This window comes from Homo sapiens, chromosome 9, assembly GCF_000001405.40.
Source record: "Homo sapiens chromosome 9, GRCh38.p14 Primary Assembly".
Lineage (NCBI taxonomy): Eukaryota > Metazoa > Chordata > Mammalia > Primates > Hominidae > Homo > Homo sapiens.
Genome location: NC_000009.12, coordinates 71,760,274 through 71,773,666, shown reverse-complemented (window position 1 = coordinate 71,773,666; position 13,393 = coordinate 71,760,274). Strand labels below are relative to the sequence as shown.

At 45.8% G+C, this 13,393-nt stretch overlaps 1 protein-coding gene across 5 annotated transcripts in view, besides 6 other annotated features; it reads left to right on the top strand.

Moving 5' to 3' along the window:
* Positions 4,133-4,814: an enhancer, noted in NCBI's record as "H3K27ac-H3K4me1 hESC enhancer chr9:74383769-74384450 (GRCh37/hg19 assembly coordinates)". NCBI's record gives its function as "activates a minimal SCP1, AML or CMV promoter by ChIP-STARR-seq in naive and primed H9 embryonic stem cells {active_cell/tissue: H9 hESC(naive and primed)}" and the evidence as "EXISTENCE:reporter gene assay evidence [ECO:0000049][PMID:30033119]".
* Positions 4,133-5,496: a biological region, named in NCBI's record as "hESC enhancers GRCh37_chr9:74383087-74383768 and GRCh37_chr9:74383769-74384450".
* The window catches only part of CEMIP2 (cell migration inducing hyaluronidase 2), an 86,101-nt gene continuing 76,908 nt past the window's right edge, over positions 4,201-13,393 (top strand). For 3 of the 5 annotated variants that reach the window (NM_001135820.2, NM_001349784.2, NM_013390.3), the window contains exon 1: positions 5,154-5,310. The gene's annotated coding sequence lies outside the window, so the exon portion shown is untranslated. Of the gene's footprint in view, positions 4,296-5,153; positions 5,311-13,393 lie in introns of those variants that run through there. The other 2 variants (XM_047423136.1, XM_005251869.5) reach the window with 1 other exon arrangement.
* Positions 4,390-5,059: a silencer, noted in NCBI's record as "silent region_19944". NCBI's record gives its function as "represses an Ori minimal core promoter by ATAC-STARR-seq in GM12878 lymphoblastoid cells {active_cell/tissue: GM12878}" and the evidence as "EXISTENCE:reporter gene assay evidence [ECO:0000049][PMID:35858748]".
* Positions 4,815-5,496: an enhancer, noted in NCBI's record as "H3K27ac hESC enhancer chr9:74383087-74383768 (GRCh37/hg19 assembly coordinates)". NCBI's record gives its function as "activates a minimal SCP1, AML or CMV promoter by ChIP-STARR-seq in primed H9 embryonic stem cells {active_cell/tissue: H9 hESC(primed)}" and the evidence as "EXISTENCE:reporter gene assay evidence [ECO:0000049][PMID:30033119]".
* Positions 10,421-10,565: an enhancer, noted in NCBI's record as "145 bp enhancer 224 fragment used in the MPRA reporter construct; PK_construct_602". NCBI's record gives its function as "activates an SV40 promoter by MPRA in HepG2 cells {active_cell/tissue: HepG2}" and the evidence as "EXISTENCE:reporter gene assay evidence [ECO:0000049][PMID:23512712]".
* Positions 10,487-10,500: a transcriptional cis regulatory region, noted in NCBI's record as "HNF1 motif; enhancer activity is reduced when this motif is scrambled". NCBI's record gives its function as "necessary for full MPRA enhancer 224 activity {active_cell/tissue: HepG2}" and the evidence as "EXISTENCE:site-directed mutagenesis evidence [ECO:0005528][PMID:23512712]".

The following is a 13,393-nucleotide window of genomic DNA, read 5'->3' as shown; positions in this document are numbered from 1 at the left end:
GATGTGGGGGTCAGTGCCCTTAACCCTCGTGTTGTTTAAGCATCCACAGACATTTAATATAGTCCTTCGGAGATGCAACGACATGTGTGGTGAGGGGTTAGGGCCATCAGGGTACAGGAAGGAGAGGCCTGGCATTTGTCTGGAGTGTGGCTGCTGTTTCTCATCATTAAAAAGAAAGTTCCAGCTTCCTTTAGGTAGTGCTTATTGTATTTATCTCATGGCCTTCACCTATGACCTGGACCCCAAGAGCACTCCATTTCCTATCTCCACCTCAAAGTCTTCGCAAGTGTAACCTAATATAACATTCCAATTTATCCTTGCTACTTAGGAGGCTGAGGCGGGAGTATCACTTGAACTGAAGAGTTTGAGCCCACCCTGGGCAACATAGTGACACGCTATCTCCCCTTGTCCCCCCAGATTTACAATTTAGCCAATCATGGAGGGTAAAGGAGAGATGACAGGAGGCACCAATAACAGAATGTGCTGAGCATTAATGAGAAGTGCAGTGAAGCCCCTTACAGCATTGCCATACTTAATTCTTATAATAACTGCATGGTCTAGGTACTACTATTATTCCCTTTTAAAATGAAAAATGGAGGCGCCTCAGAGAGGCTGAGCATCTGGTTGTGCTAGTGAGCTACAGCACGTGATCTGACTAAAGAGTCTCAGGTCTTAGCCAGTGTATTACCCTGTGTGAATGCACAGTTACAACCAGGAAAAAAATGCAAAATGTGGGCATCCCACTCACTGTGGGGCGTTCTCTCCTTATTTGGAAGAAATAGCACAATGGTGAGGATGTCACATACATGTAAGTGGGTGTGTTAGTCTGTTCTTGCATTGACAAAAGAGGTTTAATTGACCTCGATTCTGCAGGCTGTACAGAAAGCATGATTCTGGCATCTGCTCAGCTTCTAAGGAGGCCTCAGGAAACTTAAAATCATGCAGGGGAGGGAGGGTGGGGGCAAAGTGGGAGCAGGCACGTTACATGGCCAGAGCAGGAGCAAGATAGCGAGGGAGGAGGTGCCACACACATTTAAACGATCAGAACTCTCAAGAACTCACTCACTATCCCATGGACAGTACCAAGAGGATGGTACTAAACCATTCATGAGTAATCTGCCCTCATGATCCAGTCACCTCCCATCAGACCTCACCTCCAATGCTGGGGATTACAATTCAGCATGAAATTTGGGTGGGGACACAGATCCACACCATATCAGTGAGTGACATGGAGATGCACTGCCCAGATTTGCTTGCAAAGAAGGACTTGCTGCCGAGCTCTGGGTGCTGTCAGCAACTGGCCCTTTTGGAGACTGCCTCAGCTGCAGGGTCGCCTTGACCAAGGTCATGTCACGTCCCAGGATGAACGACATCCAATGACTGATTCAGGAGGGTATCTAATGGTCCAGTCATTTAGGCTCAATAATTCCAATGGGCCATCTCTCAGATCCCCCAGTGGGATCAATGAAGGCCATTGGGTACACCCCAGCTACTCCCTTTGCCCATGCTGCTTCCTGCCTGTCCCCCACAGGTGAAACATCTTGTCAGTGTCTCAGAGCCTGCTTCCCTGAGAACTCAATCTGTGACATCAGTCCCATTGATCAGAGAAGTCTGTGTCCTCTTACTTTGTTGGTTTCCTTCATAGCTTCCTTTCACATCAGTTTCCTTTGATTTTTTTTTTTTTTGAGACGGAGTCTCCCTCTTTTGCCCAGTCTGGAGTGCAATGATGAGGTCTTGGCTCACTTCAACGTCTGCCTCCCAGGTTCAAGCAATTCTCCCGCCTCAGCCTCCCGAGTAGCTGGGACTACAGGTGCGTGCCACCATGCCCGGCTAATTTTTGTATTTTTAGTAGAGGTGGGGTTTCACCATGCTGGCCAGGCTGGTCTTGAACTCCTGACCTCAGGTGATCCGCCTGCCTTGGCCTCCCAAAGTGCTGGGATTACAGGCTTAAGCCACCGTGCCCGGCCTTTCCTTTGATTTTTTATGTTCCAGATAAATATCTAAAAACAAAAGTTTATACAATTCTCAAAGATAGGCCACACACAGATTCAATCCCCCTACCCTTTTTTTTTTAGTTAACAGACTATATTTTAGAGCAATTTTAGGTTCACAACAAAATTGAGCGCAAGTGTAAAGAGGTCTCCTACACCCCTGTTCCCCACTAGCCCACTCCACTATCAATCAACATCCATTTCCCTTGGTTTGGGCAATAAATACAGATTGTGGAAATAAATAAGTCCTTTTTAAAACCAAAAATTTTATTAGACTAATGTATATAAATTTTTAATTGCTTGTTTTGTTTTGTTTTGTTTTTTTGAGATGAAGTCTCGCTCTGTAGCCCAGGCTGGAGTGCAGTGGCTCGATCTTGGCTCACTGCAAGCTCCACCTCCCGGGTTTACGGCATTCTCCTGCCTCAGCCTCCCGAGTAGCTGGGACTACAGGCGCCTGCCACCACACCTGGCTAATTTTTTGTGTGTTTTTTTTTAGTAGAGATGGGGTTTCACCATGTTAGCCAGGATGGTCTCTATCTTCTGATCTTGTGATCCACCTTCCTTAGCCTCCCAAAGTGCTGGGATTACAGGCGTGAGCCACCGCGCCTGGCCTAATTGCTATTTTTAACATTTGAGTGGTTTGCAGACTTGATTCCAAGAGGTTCTTACTGTGTGGCCTTGGGAAGACCCTTTAAATTTTCAAGTCCTACTGTCCCATCTTTAAAACGGAAATAATAATTAGTGGGAGGATTTAATTAGACAACATATCCCATAACATATCCTAACTCCAAGCAAAGTGCCTGGCACTTAATAAGGATTCAAAAAATGGATATTTGTAATATAAAGTTGGCCCAGCACAGGCCTCCTATGCTGCAACATATCACCCAAACTCAGTGTAGCTTACAACTGAAGTTTATTCTTTCACACTTCTGGAAGCAGGAGACTGCGCTCAGTTTCACTGGGCCAAAATCAAGGTGTCAGCAGGATCTTGCTCACTTCAGAGTTTCTAGGGGAGAATCCTTGCCTCTGTGCTGGCATTCCTTGCCTTGTGGAGGCATCGCTTCAATCTCTGCCTCCACAGTGGCCAGCCCTCCTCTGTGTGTGCTAACCACCCCCTTTCCCCTTATAAAAGTACATGTGACTGCAGTTAGGACCCATCTTGATCATCCAGAATAATCTCCCCAACTCAAGAAGACCCTTAATTGAATCACATATGCGAAGGCCCTGCTTCTGTCTATGTAAGGTAATATGCACAAGTTCCAGGACTTAGAACCTGTTATCTCTGGGGAGGGAACATTTTTCAGCCTAGCACACGGGTGACACAGTTTCTATCTTTATTAAGCACAATCCAAAACACCTTTGGACCATGAAAACAGTCTTTTGTCCCTTCCATCTTGTTATTCAAAACTATGTTCCTTATTTTAAAAACCTTTCCTCCCTGCCTATCCCAGAAGGGACAGCGGCTCTCAAAGGCAGCTGGGTGAAGTTTCTGTAAGATCTCAGCACTAGCTCGCGCTGCTGTTTTGGAGGCATCTTTCCAAGGCTTTAATTAATTAGAGGATGCATTCTAGCCCTGTTTCCCAAACTTACATATTCCCGATACCTCTGATTCAGTAGATTGCGCGACGTCTGGCAATCCAATTTTTTCTAAGTGCCCCAGGGGATTCTTATCATCAGCCAAGATTTGGAAACAGTAATTTCTTATACAAAGTCCTGAACTAATACCCTTGAAATAGGGGATTCCCCTTCACTGCCGGGTGTGTCGCGGTTACAGGACTGAGTTTGTTGAGGGAGGAGGAATGAACAACCCTGAAAACTAAACTATCCTACCTTGTATATTATTCACTGAAAGAGTTTCCTGGAGGGAAAACTTCCAATTCCAATTAAATCGAGGATGACGACGGCCCGGATTTGGCAGTCCTGCAGCTGTCACTAGCTCGGGACCTCGTGCGTCTGAGTGATCCAGCCCGGGCCGCGCCCTCACCCAGAGCCAAGGCTGTGAGAGCAGCTCCAGCGAGGGGGCAGGGTGGCGGCGGCAGGGCTGCTTCAGGGCCGGTGCCGGTGTCCTCAGAGCGGCGTTTTGGCACTGGGGTGGGCCGGGGCGTGGCTTTCGGCGCCACCTCTGCAAGCGGCCGCCACTCCAGAGTGGCGCAGGTAGGGGGCGTGGGAAGACCTAAGTATATTTATTCCGGCCTGCGAGCGGGATGCTGGGGTTGCTCCAAGGGACCAGAAGAGCTGCCCTGTGTCCCAGAGCAGGCTGGTTCTTCTGACAGCGCTGAGAACCTGGCGCTCGCGCCTGGCCAGGTAGGGGCTGTGACTGGACGCTCAGAACATTTGTGGGAGTGTGGAAATCTCTTTACGGGTGATGGGGCTCAAAGTCTGACGCAGCCGAGGGTTGATGGGGTGCAGTCACGCTCAGCCAGGGGACTTTGGGGGCGCAGTGTCAGGCTCAGCCAGGGAGTGACAGGCGCAGTACCAGCCTTATCTGGGGGTGCTGGAGGCACAGGCTCCGGTTCGGCCAGGCGGGTGTGCGCGCCCAGGAAGGGTAGGAGCCTGCAGCCGCAGCGGGGGGCGCTGGCTGGGGCTCTGCCCCGCCGGCAGTGCGCTCGGGCGCTGTTCCAGCGCGCGGCAGCGAGTGGCGCTGAGCCTCCGCTTTCGCAGCTCGCGGGGAGCGGGGCCGGCGGGAGGGGCCGGGCGGGGCCACCGCCTCCTCTGATGGCAGGCTCCTCCTCTCCCTCCGCCTCCCTCGCTCTCCACCGCCCGCCCGCCCGCCCGCCCAATCCACAGTTCCCGGCCCAGCCGAGCCGGGCTGCTTGTCTGGCCGGCGGAGGCTGAGCGCGACCCTAGCAAGCCGCGGCGCCCGCCGACCAGGGACAAGAGCGACTCCTGGGACCCCACTCTGCCCCGCGCCGCCGCCTCCTCCCCTGTTGTCGCGGGGACGCTCAGGCCCGCGCCGCCCGGGCCACGATTCTCCTCCTCTTTCTCCCGGAGGGGAAGGAACGGAGAAAGCCGAGCGGCGGCTCCGGGAGAGAGCGAGCCGAGGCCCCTGCCCCCGAGGCTCGGGGCAGGAGGAGGAGGAGGAGGAGGAGGCGGAGGCGGAGGGAAGTGCGCGTCACTCTCGGGAGGAGAGTATTTCACCTCCAGGCAGAGGCTGCGGCTGCCAGTTGAGTACGAGCGGCAGCTGCGGGCGCCGGCAATCGAGTGGCTTCCTGGCCATGGAGAGGAGATCTGGACCCGAGGACGCCAGGGACTCCTCTCCGTCTCCCTGGACCGCTGTGTAGGCACCTGAGTTAACGGACGCTAAGCGGGGTAGGGGAAGGTAAGAAGCGACTCGGTCACCCGCCCCCCCACCCCGCTCCACCTCGTTTGCTGCCCTCGGGGGCCACTGCGGGGACGCAGACCCGGGTCTCGCCCACCTTTTCTGCTCCCGGCGGCCTGGCCGGCTCCGGCGTTGGGCATTTCTGCCGAAAAGGAAAACGTCCTCCCGCCCTTCCCCCGTGCGCCTCCTTTCCCGGTTTCATCTCTGGATTGGGACTGACCCGACTCCCCAGGAGTCAGTCCTCTCTTCTTAAGAAAGGGTCCTCGGGAACGGTGTCTTGATTTCTTTCTCTCCACTCTCTCTTTTCATTACGTTTACGGGGAAGGGAACAATGGACCTTTCAAAGTCGGTGCGAACAGCCTTAAACTTTCTGGAGAGGGATGGGGTGAGGGGATAAACCCCACAGTAAGCCGATTACAGTGAAAGGTTGATGGAATGTGCTTTGCAGTCCGGGCTTCAGTGCGCGCGCGCTTGTGCGTTTGGGGTCATCTTTGTCTCCTTACAATTCCCCTGGGTTGGTGGGTCCTCCGCCCTCCGCCCCCTGCCTCTCTGTTAGCTGAGGTAAGGTGAGGCTTTAAAATCGTGTACAGCTTCCTTTAAATCTGGGGAATAGCCTTAGCCCTGGACCCTATTCCCAGCTTTTCTCTGCAGAGTTGGGAGATCCTGGTAAAGGAGGGGGGCCCTCTCTGTGAGGACCCAGAGTGCTGCTGTTAATAGCACTAGTGGCTACACCCTTAGCGATAAAACCAAGGTCCTGAATTCCCTGGATGCTCTCTGCTGAGGGTTGATGAGTGTCACCAGACTTCGACCTGGAGCGGAAACAGCTCACTTGAATTCTCCGCAGGTTAGGAAAACAGACTTTGATATATATCTCCTTTTATCAGCAGTTGGGATTAAGGATAGACTGCCTAATAATTTTTAAAACTTTCATTGTGCACATGAGCTACTCACTGCCTTGAGTTCACTCCCCTTGATTCAGTGTGACAGAGTGATGCGCTGCTGCACAGTTGCATGTATTGAGATGTGCTGCTCTTCCCGGTAAAAAGTGAGAAGAATTTAGAGAGAGGGGAAAGGGTAGAGGCTTCACCTGAGCTGAGGGAGGCCTGACTCCCCAGAGCAGCCAGGCAAATCTGTTGGAAATGGCTCAGTGTTAAAAAAACACCTTTAAAATGGTTAGCCTTATCTTTCTTTGGTTGGCTAGAATGGAGCTACTAATGCTTATTTGACCCTTGAAGGACGCTTGTTCTTTTCAGAATTGGTCTGGGTATCATACTGTGGTTGTGGGTCTGATTACCTATACAAAGGGTTCTTTTTAGTTTGCATTTCTGGGCAAAGCAGAAGAATGTGTAGTAGGCATGTCCTCTGCTTAGTAAACATTGGGTAGCACTTTAGAGTGCTTTTCTCTTCACACCGAAATGACTTCCCCCAGCTTCTGTGTACCTGCATTAGAGGATCAGTTTGGGCGGAACTGGAAATCTGTCTTCTGGCTTTCTGTTCAGTCCTCCTGACGCTGTTTTTTTCTGATGTATGTGTGCTTAAAGGCTCAGAAAACTAAGATTAGAAGCGAATTCTGAGTCATCACCTGTTCTTATTAACCTGTGAATGAGATAGTGAGCTGAGGACTCTCCTGTGTGTGGACAGGGAAATAGAATCTGTAAATTCTTACATGGTGTTTATCTGGATATTCTGTGTCACAGTTAATTATTTGAGTAGTCTCCTTCCTTGATCTAGTCTGTAACCAGTGACTTTTCAGAAATGTCAGATTCATAACAGGAAACCAGAATGGGGCAACACTTCAGTCATGTTCTAATAGGCCTAATCAATGCTGTCCTCAAACAGCTATCAAGAAAAGACAAGCTGGAGGGTAATGTAGTCTTGTGGGCCATTATCTTGAAGTTGACAGGGTACTGCTTAGAGCTACATGCTTTGGGCAAGTTTCTGAAATTGAGAAAGACAAGCCACATTTTAGAAAGAGGAAACTTAGGCCGGGCACAATTGGCTCACGCCTGTAATCCCAGCACTTTGGGAGGCCGAGGCAGGTGGATCACCTGAGGTCGGGAGTTTGAGACCAGCCTGGCCAACATGGTAAAACCCTATCTCTACTAAAAATACAAAAAAAAATTAGCCAGGTGTGGTGGTGCACGCCTGTAATCCCAGCTACTCGGGAGGCTGAGGAAGGAGAATCGCTTGCACCTGGGAGGTGGAGGTTGCAGTGAGCCGAGATCGTGCCACTACACTCCAACCTAGGTGATGGGAACGAGACTCCATCTGAAAAAAAAAAAAAGAAAAAAAAGAAGAAACAATAATCACTACCAAATTCATGGTCTTAGACTCACATGGAGTGCTGTATGTAAATGTGTGCATTGTGATGTGTGCTCTAAAATATGTATGAGCATTGCATCATTCACCCACCCACCATCCATTCAGCTAGCACTTATTAATCACCTATTGTGGTCCAGACCCTCTGGAAGCAATTGCAACACCTGCTTTGTGGAGCATTCATGTTGGTAAAGAGAAGGAGTTGAAGTGGTTGCAACCCGGGAGGCCACAGGGATTGAAGATACCTGTGTCACTTGCAACTAGAGAGATGACAATCTCTGCTATTGAAGAAATGAGCCTAGCCCCGGACATAAGGAAATGAACAATTAGAAGGTCCAATAAGTGCATGTCTGGGAGAATTACGCACAGAACGCTCTAAGAAGCCAGAGAAGGAACAGTTGGGGGTGGGGGAGCAATTTTGTGAGAAATAAAATTTGTTAAATCAGACAAAATAGTAGGGACTGAAAACTAGTGTCAGAAGTACTATCTTAAAATGGTGAAGATTGGAGGACTTGAAGTCAGACTTGGATTTAAAACAAGGCTTGGCACTTGCTAAACATTTGCTGTGGGCAAATCCCCTAATCCTTCTCACGTTGTTTCTTCACCTGAAAAAGGAGTTTTAAAATGCTTTATGGGAATGTTTTGGGGATTCAATTTGAGTAAGTTTGCTATGTATTAATATATGATAAAGTACTGTACAGGCTAATGCTGTCTGGTATCAAAAGGTACTTTCAAAAGTTTTTTAAAGCTATAAATAGATATAAATCATAGCTTAATCAGGTCTCAGCTACAGATTTTCATTTTATTGGCCCTTTCCAGAATGATCTGAATCCCATCTTGAGAGCAAGTCTTTAGACTTTTAAGCTAGTTACTGTCATATGGTATTGCTCTCTTGTCCAGGCTTCTTCCCATCCCAGCCACAGGAAATCTTTTCATTTCTCTTGGATTGTGAGCATTAGTGAGAAGAATGGGCTGTCTAGTACAGTACATCAATTGAAAAGGTCTTGTCTGGTTTTGTACGGTAACATCCATTCTCCCCTCTGCCTCCCAAGCCAAGCTAGCCCTTCTGTTTTCCTCTCTCTCAATATGATGAATATGGAAAAGGAAAAAAAAAAAAAGGAAGAAAAGCTATGCATCTGCCTTTTTGAGAGTATGAAAATCCCCATTACTAGTTTTCTCCATTTGTAAAGAGGTATAATTTTCATCTAGATTGTTAAAGTCTATTCTCTCAATAGCAGCAGCTGCTGTCTAGGCGAATCTGTTAGCAATACTCGCTTTAGTTCTCCACTTGAAATGGACTTAAGCCCATCTGACATTTTAATAAATTGCCTTTGATAGAAATCCAAACTCAGATATTTAAAACTATCAAGTGAACTGTGCCCTTTTGCCAGGGGTGCGGTGGGGAGGGGGGTAATGAATGTAAATCAGTTTTCTAGACACTGCTACATATGCTGAATCTTAGCATGTCGCTTGAAGGGACCTCAAAGATAATATTAAAACAAGGAAGTTGGGACCCAGAGAGGCTAAATAATTAGGTAAGGTCATATAGTAAATTAATAGCCAAGCAGGGACAAGAACTCCTTTGTCCCTGTTTCCAGTCAGCACTTTTTTTTTTTTCTTTCTCAGATATATTCTTATTTTATTCCTGTTTGGCTTTGTTAGCAATTTAATTAGTTTAATGATCAGATAATTTGTATTTGGGCTTTGAAAGTCACTGCTTTCAGGTTTAAGGCAGACACTATGTATATTTTTTCATTGCCTACTACTTACACATGATGGTGGGGTGATGTTACTTGTAACAAATTTCTGGGAAATAAGGAACTAAGTGTAAAAATAGCATTAGCTTTACTTGTATTTTCTATAAACAGGATGGAAATTTAAAGTACTGTAGATGTGCACATTTTTTAGAAGAAGCAAGTTCCTGGAAACCCTGTTCAGATTTGGCTTGTGAATCATAGAATAAAAGCATACTAGAATATGTTTGCATGTTCTTTTTTTTCTTCTTCAAAACTTATGGCTGTAGGTCATGTTTGCTTGTTCTTTTGTTTTCCTGGTACTTGCTTTGGGAAGCCTTTAATATTGGTTGTCAGGAACTATGTTCAGCAACTATTTTATTGCATTCCTAGGATGTGCAAGGCACTGTACTGGTTGCTGTGAGCAATACAGAGATAAATTAAGCATAGGGTTTTTATTAAAATGTCTTTAAAAAAAGTGAAAGACTCATAAACTGTATGTCTTAAAACACAGAATTGCTATCTCCCAACAAATCAGTCCTTTGATCTATAAGGCAAATCTGCTTTGAAATTGTTAATATTAGGGTAACCTAGTAACCAGATTTGTAACAAGACATTTATTTTCTTTACACGGTGAAAAGTGATAAACCTTTTTACATTTGTTGTATCAAGGGTCCATTGTAGTTTGAACAATAAGTAAAAGTTCAATATTTGATAAGAATTTTATGTGAAAAGTTTGCCTGGTAGAGATTGTGGCATTCTTAATCCTCATATTTTTTAATAAGGCTTTACCACTGGTTAGAAGTGTCATTAGGATGTTGTTGCCTGAAAGAGTTGAAATTTAAGACAATCCACATTGAGCCCATGAGAAAAGAATTGACCTCTGACTGAGTTTCATGTAAGTATCTTAAAACATATGAATATCCACTATAAATTTGATATCGTGGTCAGGTCAGATTAAGTCCCCCTCCAGTGTGAAATTGTTATCGATTTGGGGGCTCTTACTTAATTATTGGTGTGCACTTTGGAGACAGCAAGCCTTCTGTTGTCTTAATGGTCTCTGTAATGGTGATTCACTTCCCTGAAGAATGAATCATTTTTTCACATACAATGAAGTTTGGAAAGTTAATTATTAACATTTTAGGAATGGGAAAGATTTAGCTTAACACAGGGACATATGCCTGATTCCTGTTTCAGGAGGAATTAGAAAAATGAGTTCTTGAGGTTTTCTTTTTTTTTTTTTTAAGTTGTGGTTTGAAAAAACATAACATTAAAAAAATATATTTTTTTGAGACAGGAGTCTCACTCTGTCACCCAGGATGGAGTGCATTGGTATGATCACAGCTCACTGCAGCCTCCACCTCCTGGGCTCAAGCTATCTTTCCACATCTCAGCCTTCTGAGTAGCTGGGAGTACAGGCATGCACCACCATGCCCAGCTAATCTTTATATTTTTTTGTAGAGATAGGGTTTCACCATGTTGCCCAGGGTGGTCTTGAACTCCTGGCCTCAAGTGATCCTCCCACCTCAGTCTCCTAAAGTGGTGGGATTACAGGCGTGAGCCACTGCACCCATACTAACATTGCTTTTTAATGCCACCAGTGCCACCACTATAAAATCAACTTTATATGAGGATTTGAAAAATATGCTTGAGCAGGGCTTGGCTGAGTCTGAGGTTGGCTTTAATCTTCAAGTGTTTTTTCTTGCCTCCTGTTAGTGCTTGCAGCACTTGGGCTTGTCACGTAGCCCCTGTTTGCCTGTTATGCTGCTGCTAGCCAGTTTTTTTTTTTTTTTTTTTTTTTGGTGACGGGGCTGGCATGGGGTCTTGTTAGGTTACCCAGGCTGGAGTGCAGTGGCTCTATAGTAGTCCTAGCACACTATAGTCTTGAACTCCTGGGCTCAAGCCATCCAACTGCCTCGGCCTCTAAGTGGATGGGACTACAGGTGCACATCATTGTTCACCTCTTCCTAGCCACAGTGTATCCCTATTCGGCTAAGTGAAGTCCAGCTGCCACTCTAGTGCTGAGTAATTACTTGTTCATTAGAAGTTCTGCCTTTTGACTCTGTAGCACCCTTGAGTCTTGAGGAACATAGAGGAAACTGTTGAGAATGTGTAAGATGGCCCTTTTGTTTGGCTTAGGTTTCACGTGGCCTAGGAGGAGAGGGACTATGACTGTTTTATATTCTGGCCTGGAACTCACCTGCAGGTGACACCCTTTCAAAGAATATGAAAGACTTCTGTAGTGTGTCACCCTCCCCTCCCTCCCATACTTTTTAGTCACTATTGGGCAACGTGTCGTCATTTAAATGGCGGAGTTCAGTGGTAGACTTTAGTTTACACATGCAAAATAAGAAAGATATTAGTAATCGTCTGGTGGTGCACATTTGGGTGAGTAAATTTGCCAGGGCTTTTAGAAAATTAAGCTCTATTCCATTCATAGGGATTTAATAAACTCAAGCAATCACCTCCTCAGCCCACCTTCTTTGCCTCAACATTCAGTTTAATTACTTGTTTACTTGTGTTGTCTCCCTACTCTTTCTACCCCCAAATGCTGGGCTGTGAGCTTCTTGAATGTAGGAACCATGTTTATTTTTTGTACTATTGGGTCTCCAGTGTCTAGCAGAACCCTTTTCTCATAAGAGATGCTCAAAGCTGACCTTGTGCCCTGTTTGAAAAGGCTTTATTCCAAGTGGTTTAAGTTATATTAAAAATAGGCTATGTGTTACAGTTGAAAGAAATAGTCAACTTGGGTTCTGGTCCTGGCCCTGCCATTGATAGAAACTTTACTATGATGCTGGATTGAACAGCCTTGGATTATTTCAGTCTGGGCATCTCATTATTCATTTGAAATATTTCTAGTGTGAAAGGCACATCAAAACATACCCCTTCTGTTTCCTATTGTCATTGCATTTTGGTATCTGTACATCACTAGATCATGAACTTTGGCAGGTCTTTGCTTGTTTTTCAAACACATCCCTGTTGTCTTTTCATTTTTCCCACCTTTCAACATTTTGCCAACATAACTTTCTTGGTTTTTTCTTCCTGAGAAGTATTTTAATGCATTGTCTTTGGCCCTCTGCAGAGAATGCAGCCCACAGGCAGTTCTGCCCTTTGCTATAACCTTAATTAAATCAGCCTCTGTCAGGACAGACTTCGACTTTGGTTCTTTCTTTGGAAGGCCAGCTGCAAGGCTGGTGACGCGCCTGCACTTGCCATTGTGTGCCTCTGCACTGCCATCCGTCACTGCCAGCAGGTTGGAAGCCTCTCTTGAATCTTCCCAGCCAGTTGAGAACAAGGGCGAAGGGGGATGGTCTAGGATCACTGGGAAGGAAGGGAGAAAAGAGAACAGCTTTTCAATAAAAAGAATTAAGGAGAAAAAGAAATATGAGAAATATTAATAGGAAAAAAGGAAACCGAAGGGAATAGAGAATGACTGGTAGGTACAACGACCTTTTTCCCTTTTTTCTAATTTTCTGGGTTGAAGAACAATCTATCTCTCTGCAGTTTATCTTCTAGTTCTTTACTTCCACCTAGAGGCCTATGTACTTTGCTCTCTTTTTATTTTTATTTTTGGTTGCTCAGAGAGTGTTAGCTGTTCTTAATTGCTACCCTTCCTCCCCGCTTGGTCTGTAGTAGGTCTGCAGTTTTTTCCTTTTATGTTTTTCTTTTTTTGGGCATGATAATACATTTTAACCTTTTGGCCGTATCAGCCTCATTGGCTTTAGGGTCAAGCATTACTTCTCATAGACTTGTTTAACATCGTTGGAAAAAGATAGGATTAATTAGTATATTTGGGATCAGAAAAATTAGACAGCTGCCTCCTTTACCTTGCATAAATGACAGAAACATAGGAATGAATTTTAAATATTTCTTTAAAGTCATTTATTTCACTTTAAGAAGTTTTCACTTGGTTCACTTTTGGCATTAAACATTATAAATAGCAGCTCTTTGTTTTGAGGGATTCATATTTTAACAGGAGAGTCCAATGTGATTTGCCGAAGATGTGGCCACTTTAGTGAAACTGTGGCTAA